Source organism: Homo sapiens, chromosome 12 (genome assembly GCF_000001405.40).
Source record: "Homo sapiens chromosome 12, GRCh38.p14 Primary Assembly".
NCBI lineage: Eukaryota > Metazoa > Chordata > Mammalia > Primates > Hominidae > Homo > Homo sapiens.
The window spans coordinates 49243455-49263503 of NC_000012.12; the positions used below are offsets into that span (position 1 = coordinate 49243455).

The following is a 20049-nucleotide window of genomic DNA, read 5'->3' on the forward strand; positions in this document are numbered from 1 at the left end:
AATCAGGTGCTACCCTGTGAGTGCTTCTTACTTGGCTCTCAGGAGCTCCTCCGTCAGTCATGATGCTTCTCCAATTATCCCTTTGCTTGGGAACATCGCACATAGCATAGTTCAGGATGGCTAAGGGATAGCTTTTTGTTTTTGATTTTTATTATTTTATCTATTTATTTATTTTGAGACAGAGTCTTGCTCTATCGCCCAGGCTGGAGTGCAGTGGTGCAATCATGGTTCACTACAGCCTCAATCTTTTTGCTGTGAAGGCTAAGAGGACTTGGGAAGGGGAGGCTGGAAAAGAAAAATCAGCTCATTGCAAACCATTCTCAGGCAGTTCCCTTTAAGGAAAGGGTACATTTGGTGGTTTAGAACCTGGAAATTGAGACTTGTAATACTATCTCATTAAAAGAAAAACTTTAGGCCAGGCATGGTGGCTCGTGCCTATAATCCCAGTGCTTTGGGAGACCAAGGTGGGAGGATCTCTTGCTGTCAGGATGTCAAGACCAGTCTGGGCCACACAGCGAGATCCCGTATCTACAAATAATTTAAAAATTACCTGGGTGTGGTGGCGGGCACCTGTAATCCCAGCTACTCGGGAGGCTGAGGCACGATAATCACTTGAACCCAGGAGGTGGAGGTTGCAGTGAGCCGAGATTGTGCCACTGCACTCCAGCCTTGGTGACAGAGTGAGACTCTGTCTCAAAAAAAAAAAAAAAAGAAAAAAAAATCTGCTTTAAAACATGTATTGCCTGCAGAAACAGCTGAATTTTCAGCAAGGCCCTAAATGGGGCTCTAAATGGCCTCACCACTCACCACAGTATTTTCATTTTCAAATTCCACACATTGTTTGGTCATGTTTCTCCTTCTCCATCTTTTACCACAAAATGGATGTTTCCCTTCTGATTTGGGAGACTATGTCTTCTTAGAAGAAACATCTAAAAATGGGAAAGCTTGTGATTAAGAAGAATTTACATCTATAGTCGTGGTCTTTTGAAGATATCTACGGTATCTTCAAAATGTTCAAATGTCCAGGGAAGAAGGAAGTTAAGGGAAGTAATTTGAGTAGCTTCCCTATTTTTAGAAATTCTATTATGACCAAATTTTCCCAGAGAGGTATTTTTTTTTTTCTTTTGAGATGGAGTTTCATTCTTGTTGCCCAGGCTGGAGTTCAATGGCATGATCCCAGAGAGGGGATTCTTTAGAGTTCACAAAGTACATCATAATAAGGCATAATAATACCTTATAGTTGTGTCTAATGGATATAATATCAAAGAGTTTTCATGATCTTATCCCTGCATTCCCACCAGTCATGTCTCCACTGTGTGTAAGGATGGAAAATGAGATTGAAGGCCATCCCAGACTCACAGTCTGAACAGGAGCTCAGACCTCCTGACAAATACTATGTTGGGAAAGGACTCTGAAGCATCCTCCCAGATGCTTGCTCAGACCACACCTTCCTTATAATAACTTTATAATAACACCCCAGGTATTATTTTAGCTATTTAACAGAAAAAAAACAAGACTTGGAGAAGATAAATATACTCATCAAGTACACAGTGACTAAGTGGCAGAGCTATAATTCAGCCCAGGCCTGTCTTACTCAGAGCCTGTTTTAGTGCCTGGGAAGTAAATGATAATTTTTGATAAGACAGTTTCAGTACAGTGGTCAAGACAGAACACAAATTACAAGGGGTTTATTCACTTATTCATCACTTGTTTATTGAGGAGGGTGAAACGTCCAGCTATGGCAGTGTGAAGAGGTGGGCAAATTCTTTCCCTAAAAAAAATTACAAAGGTGGAAAAAATTGACAAAAATGACCATTTCTGGCACTCTGAAAATTGACCAAAGGCATGTAATAATCTGAGAAACAGCCAGGCACGGTGGCTCACACCTGTAATCCCAGCACTTTGGGAGGCCAAGGTGGGAGGATCACTTGAGGCCAGGAGTCTGAGACCAGCCTGGGCAACATAGTGAGACTCCCATCTTCACAAAAAATAAAAATAAAAAAATTAACCAGGTAGTGGTGGCACATGCCTGTAGTCACAGCTACTCAGGAGGCTGAGGTAGAAGGATTACTTGAGGCTAGGAATTTGAAGCTGAATTGAGCTCTGATCACTGCACCCCAACCTGGATGAAAAAAACCTGAGAAGCGTTTATGTTTGAGTAACTGCTGAACTTTTGTAATAACAGTGGGAATCTGTGGCATCTTGCCTGGGGACACTCCCATTCTCAGCTGTCCCTTCAGCTCCGTCAGCAAGAGGATTTTGCCAGGGTGGGGACTGCTGTAACAACCAGCCTTGCAACTATACTCAAAGTGGGCCTACTTTGTTTGGAGCAGGGCAGGACCAAAGGTTCTAACCTGAGGTTACAGTTCTGGCTGGGGCAAGCATCTTCCTGTCTAAACTTCTACACATTTACAGCAGATAACAGAGGGCCTAAGATTGCCACATACTTCTTCTTTTTTTTCTTTTCTGAGATGGAATCTCACTCTGTTGCCCAGGCTGGAGTGCAGTGGCACGATCTCGGCTACCTGCAACCTCAGCGTCCCAAGTTCAAGCAATTCTCCTGCCTCAGCCTCCCAAGTAGCTGGGACTACAGGCATGCGCCACCACGCCCACCTAATTTTTGTATTTTTTAGTAGAGACCGGGTTTCACCATGTTAGCCAGGCTGGTCTCAAATTCCTGATCTCAAGTGATCTGCCCGCCTCAGCCTCCCAAAGTGATAAGATTACAGGCGTGAGCCACTGCATCTGGCCTAATTGCCACATACTTCTGCCTGCCTCAGCCTCCCAAAGTGATAAGATTACAGGCGTGAGCCACTGCATCTGGCCTAATTGCCACATACTTCTGCCTGACCCTGGGGCAGCCTGCCTAGAGAAAATGTGATGGAAGAACCCAACAGAGAATAAAAGTAAAAGCCCAGATAGAATTGAAAATGGCCTGAACTTGGCCGGGCGCGGTGGCTCACGCCTGTAATCCCAGCACTTTGGGAGGCCGAGGCGGGCGGATCACGAGGTCAGGAGATCCAGATCATCCTGGCTAACACGGTGAAACCCCGTCTCTACTAAAAATACAATTAGCCGGGTGTGGTGGCGGGCGCCTATAGTCCCAGCTACTTGGGAGGCTGAGGCAGGAGAATGGCATGAACCCGGGAGGCGGAGCTTGCAGTGAGCGGAGATCGCACCACTGCACTCTAGCCTGGGCGAAGAGCCCGTCTCAAAAAAAAAAGAGAAAATGGCCTGAACTTTGAATTGTGTGCTTCCTAAAACATGCAGAAATGCATTATCAGAAGACAGAAGGCCAACTGGCTTATGGCATTTCAGGACAATTTCTGCCCCATCATTGGTCAACCAGGAGGCTACTCAGACACAGGGGGCAACCCCTAGGAAGCCAGACTTAAAAAGTAAAACAAGGCCGGGCACAGTGGCTCACAGTGACCCAGCACTTTGGGAGGCCGAGGTGGGTGGATCATCTGAGGTCAGGAGCTCGAGACCAGCCTGACCAATATGGTGAAACTCCATCTCTACTAAAAATACAAAAATTAGCCAGGCTTGGTGGCAGGTACCTGTAATCTCAGCTACTTGGGAGGCTGACACAGGAGAATTGCATGAACCCAGGAGATGGAGGTTACAGTGAACTGCGATCATGTCACTGCACTCCACCCTAGGCGATAGAGCAAGACTCCATCTCAAAAAAAAAAAAGAAAGAAAAAAAAAGTAAAACAAGAGAAAAGAAACTAAGCAGAGAGATCAGCAGCTACAAACCTCAGAGGGGAGACAGAGCTCATAGATTTAGCCCAGGCAAGTCACTAAACAAAGACAAACCCGCCGGACTTGGTGGCTCATGCCTGTAATCCCAGCACTTTGGGAGGCTGAGGTGGGTGGATCACCTGAGGTCAGGAGTTCAAGACCAGCCTGACCAATATGGTGAAACCCCATTTCTACTGAAAATACAAAAATTAGCTGAACATGGTGGCATGCACCTGTAATCCCAGCTACTCAGGAGGCTGATTGCTTCTCAGCCTTTTGGCTAAGATCAGATGTACTCAGGAGGCTGACACAGGAGAGTTGCTTGAACCTGGGAGGCGGAGGTTGCAGTGAGCCGAGATTGCACCACTGCACTCTAGCCTGGGCAACAGAGCGAGACTCTGTCTCAAAACAAACAAACAAGACAAACCCACAAACAAAGCAAAAAACAGGCTTTAGAAAGTAAAATCGGCTGGGCATGGTGGCTTACGCCTGTAATCCCAGCACTTTGGGAGGCCAAGGCAGGCGGATCACGAGGTTAGGAGTTCAAGACCAGCTTGGCCAGCATGGTGAAACCCCGTCTCTACTAAAAATACAAAAAAATTAGCCAGGCATGGTGGCATGCACCTGTAATCCCAGCTACTCAGGAGGCTGAAGTAGGAGAATTGCTTGACCGCAGGAGGCAGAAGTTGCAGTGAGCCGAGATCCTGACACTACACTCCAGCCTGGGCGATAGAACGAGATTCCGTCTCAAAAAAAAAAAAAAAAGAGAGAAAGAAAGAAAGAAAAGTAAAATCAGAGCCAGGTGCGGTGGCTCACACCTGTAATCCCAGCAGTTTGGGAGGCTGAGGCAGGCAGATCACGAGGTCAGGAGATCGAGACCATCCTGGCCAACATGGTGAAACCCCATCTCTACTAAAGTACAAAAAATTAGCCAGGCGTGGTGGCACACGCCTGTAGTCCCAGCTACCCAGGAGGCTGAGGCAGGAGAACTGCTTGAACCTGGGAGGCGGAGGTTGCAGTGAGCCAAGATAGAGCCACTACACTCCAGCCTGGTGACAGAGCAAGACTCCGTCTCAAAAGTAAAAAAAAAGAAAAAGAAAGTGGCTCACACCCATAAGCCCAGCACTTTGGGAGACTGAGGCTGGTGGATCACCTGAGGTCAGGAGTTCAAAACCAGCCTGGCCAACAAGGTGAAACCCGTCTCTACAAAAAATACAAAAATTAGCTGGGCGCGGTGGCGGCGCCTATAGTCCCAGCTACTCAGGAGGCTGAGGCAGGAGAATCACTTGAACCTGGGAGGCGGAGATTACAGTGAGCTGAGACCGGGTTGTTGCCTGGGCAACAACAGCGAAACTCTGTCTCAGAAAAAAAAAAAAAGAAAAGGGCCGGGCACGGTGGCCCACGTCTGTAATCTCAGCACTTTGGGAGGCCGAGGCGGGCGGATCACGAGGTCAGGAGATCGAGACCATCCTGGCTAACACAGTGAAACTCCGTCTCTACTAAAAATTCAAAAAAAATAATTAGCCGGGCGTGGTGGCAGGCGCCTGTAGTCCCAGCTACTCGGGAGGCTGAGGCAGGAGAATGGCGTGAACCCGGGAGGCGGAGCTTGCAGTGAGCCAAGATCGCGCCACTGCACTCCAGCCTGGGTGACAGAGCGAGACTCCCTCTCAAAAAAAAAAAAAAAAAAAAAAGTTAGAAATCAACAACAGAAAGAGATCTGGGAAATCCCTATGTATTTGGAAATAAAACAGACTTCTAAATAGCACATAGGTCAAAAGCCACTTCACAAGGGAAATCTTAAAATATTTTGAACTGAGTAAAAATGAAAATACAACATATCAAAATTTATGGGAAGCAGCTAGAAGTGCTTAGAGGAAAACATATATATAAGAAGAAAAGAAAGGTCTCAAATCAAATTAAGCTTCTATCTTAAGAAAATAAAAAGAAGGCCGGGCGCGGTGGCTCATGCCTGTAATCCCAGCACTTTGGGAGGCCGAGTCGGGCTGATCCCCTGAGGTCGGGAGTTTGAGACCAGCCTGACCAACATAGACAAACCCCGTCTCCACTAAAAATACAAAATTAGCCGGGTGTGGTGGCGCATGCCTGTAATCCCAGGTACTCGGGAGGTGGAGGCAGGAGAATCACTTGAACCCGGGAGGCGGAGGTTGTGGTGAGCTGAGATGGCGCCACTGCACTCCAGCCTGGTCGACAAGAGTGAAACTCCGTCTCTAAATAAATAAATAAATAAACAAAAGATCAAACTAAACCCAAGGTAAGCAAAAAAGAGGAAATAAAGATTAGAGCAGAAATCAATGAAACAGAAAACAGCAATATAGAAAATCAACGAACAAAAAGTTGTTTCTTTGAAAAAATAACAATGACTGGTCGTGGTGGCTCACACCTATAATCCTAGCACTTTGGGAAGCAGAGGCAGGTGGATCACTTGAGCCCAGGAGTTGGAGACCAGCCTAGGTAACATGGTGAACACCGTCTCTTCCAAATAAATACAAAAATTAGCCAGTCATGGTGGCACGTGCCTGTAGTCCCAGTTACTCGGGTGGGGATGCTCATGAGATAGAATTGCTTGAGCCTGAGAGGTTGAGGCTGCAGTGAGCTGAGGTCACGCCACTGCACTCAAGCAGGCAATAGAGCAAAACATTGTCTCCAATAATAATAATAATAATAAGATTAGCCAAGCGAAAAAAATTTTTAAAAAGGCCAGACATGGTGGCTTATGCCTGTAATTCCAACACTTTGGGAGGCCGAGGCAGGTGGATCACTTGAGGTCAGGAGTTTGAGACCAGCCTGGCCCAACGTGGTGAAACCCCATCTCTACTAAAAATACAAAAATTAGCCAGGTGTGGTGGCGGGTGCCTGTAATCCCAGTTACTCAGGAGGCTGAGGCAGGAGAATCGCTTGAACCTGGGAGGTGGAAGGTTGCAGTGAGCTGAGATCGTGCCACTGCACTGCAACCTGGGCGACAGAGTGAGACTCCATCTCAAAAAATAATAATAATAAATTTGTTTTAAAAAAGAGAAGACACTGGCTGGGCGTGGTGGCTTGCGCCTGTAATCCCAGCACTTTGGGAGGCCCAGGCAGGCGGATCACGAGGTCAGGAAATCGAGACCATCCTGGCTAACACGATGAAACCCCGTCTCTACTAAAAATACAAAAAATTAGTCGGGCATGGTGGCGGGCACCTGTAGTCCCAGCTACTTGGGAGGCTGAGTCAGGAGAATAGCGTGAACCTGGGAGGCGGAGCTTGCAGTGAGCCGAGATCGCGCCACTGCACTCTAGCCTGGGTGACAGAGTGAGACTCCGTCTCAAAAAAAAAAAAAAAAAAGAGAAGACACAAATTACCAGTATCTAGAATGAAAGAGAGGACATCAATCTCTGCCCTACAAAAATTAAAATTATAAAAGTATATTATGGGGCCAGGCATGGTGGCTCATGACTATGATCCCAACACTTTGGGAGGCTGAGGTGGGCAGATTACTTGAGCCCAGGAGTTCCAGAACAGCCTGGGTAACAGTGAAACCCCATCTCTACCATACACACACAAAAAGTATAATGTGAACAACTTTATACCAGTACATTAGGCAATTTAATGAAATGAAAAATTCCTAGAAAGGCATAAAGTATCAAGACCAACTCAAGAAGAAATAGGATATCCAAACATACCTATATCAAGTGGTTAAAAAAAATGAATTTAAAAAACAATCTTCCAGCTGGGCATGGTGGCTCACACCTGTAATCCCAGCACTTTGGGAGGCCAAGGCAGGTACATCACTTGAGGTCGGGAGTTCAAGACCAGCCTGGGCATTATGGTGAAACCCGTCTCAACCAAAATGTACAAAAATTACCCAGGTGGGGTGGCACATACCTATAGACCCAGCTACTTGGGAGGCTGAGGTGGGACAATAACTTGAACCAGGGAGGTGGAGGTGTCAGTGAGCTGAGATTGTACCACTGCACTCCAGCCTGGGGCAACAGAGTGAGACCCTGTCTCAAGAACAAACAAAAACAATCTAACAATCTTCCCACAAGAGCCCAGCCCAGATGGCTTCATTGGTAAATTCCATTAAATATTTAAAGAACCAATAATACAAATATTGAACAAATTATTTCAGAAATTAGAGGAGGAACACTTCCCAATTTATTCTATAAATTCAATATTACTCTGATACTAAAACCAGGTAAAGACACTGTAAGAAAAGTATATATCGATATCCTTATAAATATTGATACAAAAGTCGTCTGCAAACCAAATTCAGCAACATATAAGAGAGATTATAGGCTGGGCCTGGTGACTCACCTTGTAATCCTAGCACTTTGGGAGGCCGAGATGGATGGGTCACTTGAGGTCAGCAGTTCAAGACTAGCCTGGCTAACATTGTGAAACCCCTGTCTCTACTAAAAATGTAAAAATCAGCTGGGTGGTGGCAGGCACCTTTAATCACAGCTACTTTGGAGGCTGGGGCAGGAGAATCGCTTGAGCCCAAGAGGTGGAGGTTGTAGTGAGCTGAGATGGCACCACTGCAGTCCAGCTTGGGCGACAGAGCGAGACTCGGTATTTAAAAAAAAAAAAAAAAAGATTATACAACACGACCAAGTTGTATTTATTCCAAGGATGCATGGTTGGTTTAAATTCTAAAATAAATTAATGTAATATACAATATTAATAAAGGACAAAAGCTACATGATCATCTCAATCGATGCAGAAAAAACATTTGACAAAATCCAACCCATTCATGATAAAAACTCAACGAACTAGGAATAGAAGGGAATATCCTTAACCAGATAAGGGGCTTCTAAGAAAAACCAACAGCAAACATTCTGAGTCTGTCAGCTGGTGAATGGGTAAATAAAATATGCTACATCCATACAATGCAATACTGTTCAGCAGTAAGAAGGAATGAAGGATGAATGCATGCTACCATATAGATTAAACTCCAGAATATGATGCTAGGTGGCAGAAACCAGATGCACAGGTTAGGATGTTTTTGCTCTGTAAGGCATTAACCAGTTTTGTATCTATCTATAAATTTTATTCTAATAAAATTTTAAGTGTCTTTCCTAATAAAATATGTAAATTCCTGCTCTTCAAGTGCTCTTTTCACCAGCTTGACCATTTTACTGCTTCCTTTAGTTAATAAAACTTGATGTTTATTCTATATTTGTATGACAGTCATAATCTTAACTTTTTCAAAATTATATTTTAACATGGAAGACATAGCAGTAGGGGCTTGTGGACATTCTTTTCTGACTGCTTCTATTTTCTCAGTGAATAAGGGTGAAAAGTCATGAACTGAGAGTGAGAATAGGGAGAAGCTTTGGGGGAAGTTGAGGGCAGTGAAGAAGATATTACAAAAAGACTTTTAGAGCCTGGCCAACATGGCGAAACCCCATCTCTACTAAAAATACAAAAATTGGCTGGGCACGGTGGCTCACACCTGTAATCCCAGCACTTTGGGAGGCCGAGGCGGGTGGATCACGAGGTCAGGAGATCGAGACCATCCTCACTAACATGGTGAAACCCCGTCTCTACTGAAAAAATACAAAAGATTAGCCAGGCATGGTGGCGGGCGCCTGTAGTCCCAGCTACTCGGGAGGCTGAGGCAGGAGAATCACTTGAACCCGGGAGGCGGAGGTTGCGGTGAGCCGAGATCATGCCATTGCACTCCAGCCTGGGGCAACAAGAGGGAGACTCCATCACAAAACAGAAACAAAAACAAAAATTAGTCAAGTGTGGTAGGCCTCTGTAATCCCAGCCACTTGGGGAGGCTGAGGCAGGAGAATTCCTTGAACCCGGGAGGTGGAGGTTGCAGTGAGCCAAGATTGCAGCACCACTGCACTCCAGCCTGGGTAGCAGAGCCAGACCCTATCTTAAAAAAAAAAAAAAAAAAAAAGACTTTCAGGAGAGTGGGAAAGTGAAAAATTAAGGGAAATTCCGGATGACTGCTGAGCAATATAAACCCGCTGGAGGTTAGTAGTCATGAACTTTAAATGGAACTCTCGGCATACCACAGCCATGCCTGCAGGCATGGAGTAGGCAGAGTTAGATTTAATCAGGTTATTCGGTTTTGCTAAGTGAGCACAAACAAGAAAATAAAGCATGAGAGTTGGTAGGTGTAAGCTACGGTGGAAGCTATGGAAGGAGACCTGAGGATGTAGCGGAATAGAGGACAGTGCACACGTGGGCGTGTCAATGTCTTGTAAGTCCCAGTTAGGTAGAAGGGTTGTGGGTACTGGTTTCGTAGAGCTAAAAAGTGGGAGGTTGTGGTTGGACGGTGGGATGCTTAAAATTGAAATCATGAAGGGAGGGGGCGTGGGGAGGGGATACTCATTTTATTTTTGAGAGAGGGTTTCACTCTTGCCCAGGCTGGAGTGCAGTGGCACCAACATGGCTAACTTGAGCTCTTGGGCTCAAGCGATCCTCCCACCTCAGCCTCCCCAGTAGCTGGGACTACAGGCATGTACCACCACACCATGCTAATTTTAAATTTTTTTGTAGGGACAGGGTCTCACTATGTCGTCCAAGCTGGTCTTGAATTCCTGGACTCAAGCGATCTTCCTGCTTCTGCCTCCCAAAGTGGCCTATAATTTTATTTGAACAGTAACTCAAACTGGTACTGAAACTAGAGTTCAGTCCCAATTTGTCTAAACAAAAGAAAGTGAAGGGTCAAGAAAAAGGGTTAAATTATGAAGCAAGATCCCAGAGACTGTGAGCAGGAATACAGAACTGGGGCACAGGTGGATAGGACTAGTATTAATAAAATCAGGGACGGGGAGCCCTACAGAGATAGAAGACAGGATAAAAGCAGGAAGGGGAGCCGGGTGCGGTGACTTACGCCTGTAATCCCAGCAGTTTGGGAGGCCGAGGCAGGCGGATCACCTGAGGTCGGGATTTCGAGACCAGCCTGACCAACACGGAGAAACCCCGTCTCTACTAAAAATACCAAATTAGCCGGGCGTGGTGGCGCATGCCTGTAATCCCAGCTACTCGGGAGGCTGAGGCAGGAGAATCGCTTGAACCCGGGAGCTGGAGGTTGCGGTGAGCCAAGATCATGCCATTGCACTCTAGCCTGGGCAACAAGAGTGAAACTCCATCTCAAGAAGAGAAAAGAAAAAATTAGCCGAGTGTCGTGGTGCACGCCTGTAATCCCAGCTACTCAGGAGGCTGAGGCAGAGAATCACTTGAACTTGGGAAGTGGAAGCTGCATCATTGAACCGAGATCATGCCACTGCACTCCAGCCTGGGCAACAGAGCGAGGCTCCATCTAAACAAAAAAAAAAAAAAAAAAAAAAAACGGGAAATGAATTGTCAAATGAGGATATATATAGGGTGAGGTATGGAAGGCTCCTGAGTGCAGCAGCTTCTGTCCTTTGAGTGTAGTGGAGCTGGGGTGCACAACCCTCCTGCAAGTGGATATGTTCTTGTTTACCAGTTTGGAACTCTGGGAACCCGGTAGTTTAGGGATTTTTATGGAGGCTTCATCACGTAGGCATGATCAGTTTTTAACTCAATCCCTAGTCCTTCTCCCCTCCCTGGAGGATGGGGGATGTGGCTAAATTTTCAAGCTTCTAGTCATGACTTTGTCTTTCTGGTGACCAGACCCTATCCTGAAGCTATCCAGCAAGACACCAAGAGACCCTCATTAGTACAAAAGATGCTCCCATCACCCAGGAAGTTCCAAGGATTTAGGAGCTCTGTGTCAGGAACTTGGTGCAGAGGCAAAACACATATATTTTTTTTTTATTTTTTAAGTAGAAACGGGGTCCCTCTGTGTTGCCCAGGGTGGTCTCAAACTCCTGAGCTCAAGTGATCCTACCACTTCAGCCTCCCAAATTGCTGGGATTACAGGCTTGAGCCACTGCACCTGACCTCAGGCTGTTTTAGAGCAAGTCTTATCCTCACACCAAATGCAGATGGAGAAACTCACCCAAAATACAACTACGGACCTTGCCAAGGTTACTCTATTTAATCACACTATAAGCCAGAATTCCTAGTAATTATAATGGCTCTGAGAGTTTACAGTGAATAGTCTAATTCAGTATTTTGTTATTCTAATCTTTACTTTCCTTACTCTGCAGTGCTTTTCCCTTTGTATTTTATCTTGTCCTTGTCTTTAAAGGTCAAAATGATTCTGTTGCTTGCTAAGAAACCAACTACCACTTTCCCCAGCAGCTGAACTTATCTTTAAAAAATATATATATATATATATATATATATTTCTCTGATAGAGGTCTTGCTATGTTGCTCAGGCTGGTCTCAAACCTCTGGACTCATGTGATCCACCCACTTGGTCTTCCAAAGTGCTGGAATTACAGTCATGAACCACTCTACCTGGTAGATTCGTCTTTTCTTTTTGTTTTTCGAGACTGAGTCTCATTCTATCACCCATGCTGGAGTGCAGTGGCGCAATCTCAGCTCACTGCAACCTCCACCTCCCAGGTTCAAGCGATTCTCCATTCTTGTGACTCAGCCTCTGGAGTAGCTGGGATTACAGGCGTCTGCCACCACGCCTGGCTAATTTTTATATTTTTATTAGAGACAGGGTTTCACCATGTTGGCCAGGCTGGTCTGGAACTCCTGACATCACGTGATCCGCCGGCCTCAGTCTCCCAAAGTGCTGGGATTACAGGCGTGAGCCACCACGCCCAGCCAGATTTATCTTTTTAGGCTTCCATAGCAATGTGCTTGAGGCTAGGGCGTGGTGGCTGACATCTGTATTCCCAGCATTTGGGGAGGCTGAGGCCAGTGGGTGTGGTGGCACGTGCCTGTAGTCCCAGCTACTTGGGAGGCCCAGGTGGGAGGATCACCTGAGCCTGGGACGTTGAGGCTGCAGTGAGCTACAGTGGTGCCACTGCACTCCAGCCTGGGTGAGAGAGTGAAACCCTGTCTCAAAAACAAACAAACGAACAACACTAAAAGAAACTAGTGTGCTTGGGGTTAGGCCCTCCTGGCCTTGACCAAAGGCCATGAAACCCCCAATGCAACTGAGCAAGTGAGCATCAGCGAAACAGGCTGTGTAGCTTGTCAGGTGATCTCTGTTCCAGGATAATTTTTTTTTCCTCTGAAACAACTTTGGTTTATTATCAGTCATTTCGTGCAGAGTAAAGAGAAAGAACAGCGTGAATTTAAAATTTGTTTCTTTGTTTTGAACAAAAATTATTTCTTCTTTTTCTTTTCCACAGTGTGTGAACCCAGCTCTGTCCCTTGGGTTCCGTACATATAAATGGAGCAGCTGAGGGAACTGGATAAGAAGTCGATTTTGTAGTTACAGGCTGTTCCGTATCACCCATTTACAAGGTCAGTGGGGACTGAAACTGACCAAAACAGAGAACTATGTACTTTAAAATGAGGAAATCTTTATCTATCAGAAACACACAAAGAACTTTCAGGGGTTCTAAAGGGCTTATATTCCTGACTCCATTGGAACAAAATATGCTGGAGGGTAAGGAAAAAGGTATATGGACTAGAGGATCAAAAACAGCAAAGTGTTGTAAAAACAGAGGCCTGCAAGTGCAGACCCTCATCTGTTAGAACCCTGTTCCAGCCTCCTTCCTTCACTGAATCTCCTGAGGGGTTTGGGGACATTGCAGATTTTGATGATTTGGGGAAATAAACATGTAATTAAAGTTGTAGATATAAAAGTGGTTCTATATTAATGTTCTTGGAGAGAAGACAGTAATTTAGGCCAGGAGCGGTGGTTCACGCCTGTAATCCTAACACTTTGGGAGGCTGAGGCGGGTGGATTACCTGAGATCAGGAGTTTGAGACCAGCCTGGCCAACATGATGAAACCCCGTCTCTACTAAAAATACAAAAATTAGCTCGGCATGGTGGTGGGCGCCTATAATCCCAGCTACTTGGGAGTCTGCGGCAAGAGAATCACTTGAACCCAGGGGGCAGAGGTTGCAGTGAGTCCAGATCAAGCCACTCCATCTCAAAAAAAAAAAAAAAAAGAAGACAGTGGTTTAGAAATGAAGGCCTTAAAGCCAACCTCCTGAGGGAAGGGTTGGGATTCCAAAGAAGGCTGGACTGAAGGCAACATGCGCTGCTGTGTGACCTCAGGGCAGTTCCCAAAGCCAGGCAGCCTCCATTTCCTCTCCTGTAAAATGGAGGTAACAATAGTGTCTACCTCATAGGATTATCGTGAAGAATAAATAAGTTAAAGCATTTAAAATCCTCAGTCCAGGGATGAACACCTAGCATGCAGATACTGGTACTAGCAGTGGAGGGGCTGAGGAATGGGGGCAGGAAGAGGCATTTATTTTTTTTTTAATTTTACGTTTGCAGGCCAGGCGAGGTGGCTCAAGCTTGTAATTCCAGCACTTTGGGAGGCCAAGGTGGGAGGATTACTTGAGGCCAGGAGTTTGAGACAGTCTGGACAACAGCAAGACCCTCTCGCTACAAAAAATACAAAAAATTAGCCAAGCATGGTGGCGCACACGGTAACCTCAGCTATTCAGGAAGCTAAGGCGAGAGGATTGCTTGAGCCCAGGAAGTTGAGGCTGCAGTGAGTCGTGATCATGCCAGCGCACCCCAGCCTGGGTGACAGAGGGAGACCCTGTTTCAAAAAAAATGTTGTACAGCTGTACAATGTGTTTTAAGCTGTGTTATTACAAGAGACAAAAAGTTTAAAAAAAAAAAGTTTACAATTTTTTTTTTTTTTTGAGCAGAGTCTCACTCTACTGCCCAGGCTGGAGTGCAGTGGTACAATCTTGGCTCACTGCAGCCTCCGCCTTCCGGGTTCCAGTGATCCTCCTGCCTCAGCCTCCCAAGTAGCTGAGATTACAGGTATGTGCCACCACATCCGGCTAATTTTTTCTATGTTTAGTAGAGGTGAGGTCTCACCATGTTGGCCAGGCTGATTGTGAACTCCTGACCTCAAGTGATCCGCCCACCTCAGCCTCCCAAAGTGCTAGGATTACAGGCATGAGCCACAGCACCTGGCCTTACAAATTTTTAAAGCTACAGTAAGCTAAAGTTAATTTATCATTGAAGAAGGAAACATGTTTTCAAGTTTAATGTAGCCTAAGTGTCAGTGTTTATAAAGTCTACAGTAGTATACAATAATGTCCTAGGTCAGCTGGGTGCAGTGGCTCCCACCTGTAATCCCAGCACTTTGGGAGGCCCAGGAGGGAGCATCACTTGAGCCCAGGAGTTTGTGAGCAGCCTGGGCAACAGAGTGAGACCTTGTTTTTATAAAAATTATTTATGTTTTGTTTTTTGTTTTTCTTTTTGAGACAGTCTCGCTCTATTGCCCAGGCTGGAGTGAACTGGTGTGATCTGGGCTCACTGCAACCTCCACCTCCCTATTTCAAGCGATTCTCCTGCTTCAGCCTCCCAAGTAGCTGGGATTACAGGTGTGCATCACAACGCCTGGCTAATTTTTGTGTTTTTAGTAGAGATGGGGTTTCGCCATGTTGGTCAGGCTGCTCTCGAACCCCTGACCTCAGGTGATCAGCCCGCCTTGGCCTCCCAAAGTGCTAGGATTACAGGCATGAGCTATCATGCCCGGCTATAAGTAAATAAATAAATAATTCAAAAATGAAATTTTTTTTTTTTTGAGACGGAGTTTTGCTCTTGGTGCCCAGGCTGGAGTGCAATGGCACACTCTCGGCTCACTGCAACCTCCACCTTCCAGGTTCAAACAATTTTCTTGCCTCAGCCTCCCGAGTAGCTGGGATTACAGGCATGTGCCACCACGCCTGGCTAACTTTTTTGTATTTTTAGTAGAGACGGGGTTTCTCCGTGTTGGTCAGGCTAGTCTCGAACTCCTGACCTCAGGTGATCCACCTGCCTCGGCCTCCCAAAGTGCTGGGATTACAGGTGTGAGCCACCGCACCCGGCCAAAAATGAAAAATTTTTTTAAATGTCCTAGGCCTTCACATTCACTTACCACTGACTCACTAAGCAACTTCCAGTCCTGCAAGTTCCATTCATGGTAAGTGCCCTATATAGGTGTGCCATCTTTTATCTTTTATACCATATTTTTACCATAAGTTTTCTATGTTTAGATACAAATACTTTCTTTTTTTTTTTTGAGACGGAGTCTCACTGTGTCGCCCAGGCTGGAATGCAGTGTGCGATCTCGGCTCACTGCAACCTCTGCCTCCCGGGTTCAAGCGATTCTTGAGCCTCAGCCTCCTGTGTAGCTGGCACACACTACCATGCCTGGCTAATTTTTGTATTTTTAATAGAGTTGGGTTTTCACCATGTAGGCCAGGCTGGTCTCAAACGCCTGACCTCAAGTGATCTGCCTGCCTCAACCTCCCAAAATGCTGGGATTATAGGCATGAGCCACCACGCCCAACCTAGATACAAATACCATCTAGTTACAATCGCCTAAGTATTCAGTACAGTAACAGGCTGCACAAGTTTCTAGCTTTGGAGCAATAAGCTAGGTTTGCATATGTACACTCTGTGATGTTCCCACAATGAAGAAATTGCCTAGGATGCATTTCTTAGAACAGATCTTGGTTGTTAAGTGACACATGGCTGTACATGAGTAAGAAGAGACCGGTTTCACCTCTAAGTTTCCTAACTATAATTTATGCACTGATATTCTCTCTAGTATTCAGATTCCATGCTTTAATTATGTACGAAAAAACATTACTTAGTGTACTTGATAATGGCTGGCTGTGTGTCCTGGGAGCAGGAGGAGGCAGGTGGAGATGCAGAAAAGTAAAAAGGAAAAGATTATCCTGAGATTCACAGTCCCTAAGCAAATTCCCCATTGTTTTGCTTGGTTGCAAGAAGTTAGTCGCAGGGAAAGAAAACCTTCAGGGGCCTTCTACTTTGGGCTGCCTGAGTGCTTTTTCAGTACATGAATAAATTTATTAAATAAATGTTACTATAAATAGAAAAGTTTTCCAGGCTCTATGATATAGTCCTTTTATTAGAGTAATACTGTAGACAATTGAAGAATATGAGTAGTTCCTTTTACTTTTCCTCCAAGAGAATTTTATCTGTGTATCCTAAAGGAATGGGGGAAGGGGGCAAGGGAATGGTAGTTAATTCCAGAAAAGATTAGCAAGAGCTTGAGTAAGAAGTCTTGGGTGTAGGGATACAGGGTGGGAATACAGGTCAAAGGAACCGGTTCAGTTGTTTCAGTTAGTCACCGAGGAAGTGATGCCACAGCACTGTATTTTTAGGAAATATAAAGCAGATCAGAACAAGCCAAATCTCAGTGGAAAGAAAATGTGTAATTTCAGAGATGAAAGTCAATCTTCTATGGTAATCTCCCAGAATGGAGCTAGCATTTCACATACTAAGCCCTGCCAAAGGGGAAGTCGTCCAAAACACAGCTCAAATCAGGGAGGAAGAGAACTTCTAAAGAATTTGTAGGAACTTTTAAAGACTGCAAACATTTGTGGGATAAAAGAGAAATAAATAAAAGTTAAAGGATCCAAGGACTGTTTTTCCCATAAAATAAAATAACATGTTACCTAGAAAGTAATGTCCTGCTATTCTGTACATACAAGGCATAAAAAAGGAGAAAAAACAAACTGCCTTGAAATACATAATTTTATTTCTTTTGGGTGGAACAGGGTCTGTTTTCCCCCCAGGCTGGAGTGCAGTTGCATGATCTTGGCGTACTGCAGCCTCAGCCTCCCAGGCTCAAGTGATCCTCCCACTAAAGCCTTCCGAGTAGCTGGCCGACAGGCACACACCACCATGTCCAGCTAATTTTTTTTTTAATTTTCATAGAGACAGGGTTTCGCCATGTTGCCCCAGGCTGGTCTCGAACTCCTGGACTTAAGCAATCTGCCCACCCTGGCCTCCCAAAGTGTTGAGATTACAGAAATGAGCCACCTCACCTGGCTGAAATGCATAAATCTTAAAAAATGCTTATTGTAGGCTGGGCGCAGGGGCTCATGCCTGTAATCCCAGCTCTTTGGGAGGCCGAGGCAGGCAGATCACCTGAGGTCAGGAGTTTGAGACCAGCCTGGGGCTCAGTGGCGCTGAGCCAAGATAGCGCCATTGCACTCCAGCCTGGGCAACACAGCGAGACACCGTCTCAAAAAAAAAAAAATGCTTATTGTAAAGAAGGTTGTTCAACTGCAGAGTCCTAGCTGTCCTTTGGGGTTGTTAAAAGTAGGGTAAATTTTTTTTCTTGTTACATTAGTAACCTTACCATAGGACTACAAATTCAATAAATGACTTTTCTAGGACTTCCCTTTCCCTGTTAACTAGAGCCAATAACAGGCTGAGGAAGAACCTAGAATAAAAGAGACAACTGTCATTGTAGGTATTTAATCTGACTCCTATCTCTTGTGGTTTGGGGTAAATTATTTCAAGTCTCAGGACTTTATTTTCCACAGTTCCATAATAAATACCTTTGTAAAAACTCATTTATAAAAACTCTACCAAGGCACTATTGCAGTAGAAAACATTTTGTTATAAATTTCTACATAAGCACAAAATATTCCTACATCATTAATTGTATCATGTAATTTGTAACTGAACACAAACAAATACTTCAGCATTACTAGTATCTCAGCAAAGAAAACAGGAGTTAGGCTGAAAAAAAATAAGGTTCAGTTTTATCTGAATTCTTTTCTCTTTACTAATGTTTTGTGATGTTTTGTGAACATGCTATATGGTCATTTAAAGCCCAAGAAAGCTGCAGTAGGTATGCAACGCTTATTTCCCTAAAGCATTGTAAGATTACAACGAAAGCCCCATCTGTAATTATTTATCTAATGTTCTGGTGATTCTTCAGTCAAGATGTTGACTGAGGAAGCATGTTTTCTCCTTTGCTCATATTTGTAGAGCTCACATGAACCCCACAAACTTTGAGTCACACATCACAGAATGTTAGGGCTGTAAGGGCCTTACAGAGGATCCTGTCCAATCTCCTCATATTGCACATTCAAAACCTGGACCCTGAGGAGGGGAAATGTCCATCCAAAGTTATATATTAGCCAGGCGTGGTGGCTCACACCTGTGATTCCAGCACTTTGGGAGGCCAAGGCAGGAGGATTGCTTGAGCCTAGGAGTTCAAAACCAGCCTGGGAAATATAGTGGGACTTCATCTTTACAAAAAAAAAAAAAAGATTAGCCAGGCATGGTAGCACACACCTGTAGTCCCAGGTACTTGGGAGGCTGAGGCAAGAGGATTGCTTGAGCCCAAAAAGTCGAGGCTGCACCACTGCACTCCATCCAGGGTGACAGAGTGAGACCCTGTGTAAAAAAAAAAAAAAAAAAAAAAAGTTTTATAGCAAAAAAAAAAAAAAAGGCTGATCACTGAACCGTGTCTTCTGTCACCCTATTAATAATTTAGCATAGTCTGGGCAAACTGGCTCATGCCTGTAATCGCAGCATTTTGGGAGGCTGAGCCTGGTGGATCACCTGAGGTCAGGAGTTTGAAACCAGTCTGACCAACATGGTGAAACCCCATCTCTACTAAAAATACAAAAATTAGCTGGGCATGGTGGCACATGCCTGTAACCCCAGCTACTTGGGAGGCTGAGACAGGAGAATTGCTTGAACCTGGGAGGTGGAGGTTGCAGTGAGCTGACATCATGCCATTGCACTCCAGCCTGGGCAACAGAGCGAGACTCCATGTCAAAATAATAATAATAATTTAGCATATTTTTGGTGAATTCTGGAAACTGTCAACTGAAAAGTAAGTCCAGTTTCTGCCTCTCCTTACACTGTAATTTTTAGACTCATAAAGATCTGTTAACATAAAGGTTAAATGTTTAACTGTCTACCCAGGAAATTTTTCCCCAAAAAATTCCAGCAGAGGGCAGCAAATCTAAATATGGATCCCAATGCTTAAAATTAATTTAAAGTACAAGAGAATTACTCTTTTTTTTTTTTTTTTTTTTCTGAGACAGAGTCTCTGTCACTCAGGCTGGAGTACAGTGGCACGATCTCTGCTCACTGCAACCTCCACCTCCCAGGTTCAAGTAATTCTGCCTCAGCCTCCCGAGTAGTTGGGATTACAGGTGTGCACCACCATGCTCGACTAATTTTCACATTTTTTGGTAGACATGGGGTTTCACCGTGTTAGCCAGGCTGGTCTCAAACTTTTGACCTCAAGTGATCCGCCCGCCTCCCAAAGTGCCAGAATTACAGACTTGAGCCACTGCGCCAGGCCTGTTGGTTGTTTTTCTTCCCTATCCCACTCCCACTTCCCTATCTTCCCTATTCCCTCTCCATGAGGCAGAGCCATCAGTTTTGCTCACAAACATATTCCCTAAGCATCTCGGATACTGTGCTAAATATATCTGGGGAATGAATGAAAAAGTTGAAAAGCTCTACTAAGACTAAAATCTCTACACATAT

The 20049-nt window shown here is 44.9% G+C and overlaps 1 protein-coding gene across 4 annotated transcripts in view, besides 1 other annotated feature; it reads left to right on the top strand.

Annotated features, from left to right (window-relative positions):
- TUBA1C (tubulin alpha 1c) overlaps positions 1-20049 on the top strand; it is a 46675-nt gene that overhangs the window by 15529 nt on the left and 11097 nt on the right. The window contains exons 2-3 of one of the 4 annotated variants that reach the window (NM_001303115.2): positions 12943-13057; positions 14430-14547. The exons of 1 other annotated variant lie outside the window; for it this stretch is intronic. The gene's annotated coding sequence lies outside the window, so the exon portion shown is untranslated. The remainder of the gene's footprint in view (positions 1-12942; positions 13058-14429; positions 14548-20049) is intronic. 2 more of the 4 variants (NM_001303116.2, NM_001303117.2) reach the window with 2 other exon arrangements.
- Positions 13006-13723: an enhancer, noted in NCBI's record as "H3K27ac hESC enhancer chr12:49650243-49650960 (GRCh37/hg19 assembly coordinates)". NCBI's record gives its function as "activates a minimal SCP1, AML or CMV promoter by ChIP-STARR-seq in naive H9 embryonic stem cells {active_cell/tissue: H9 hESC(naive)}" and the evidence as "EXISTENCE:reporter gene assay evidence [ECO:0000049][PMID:30033119]".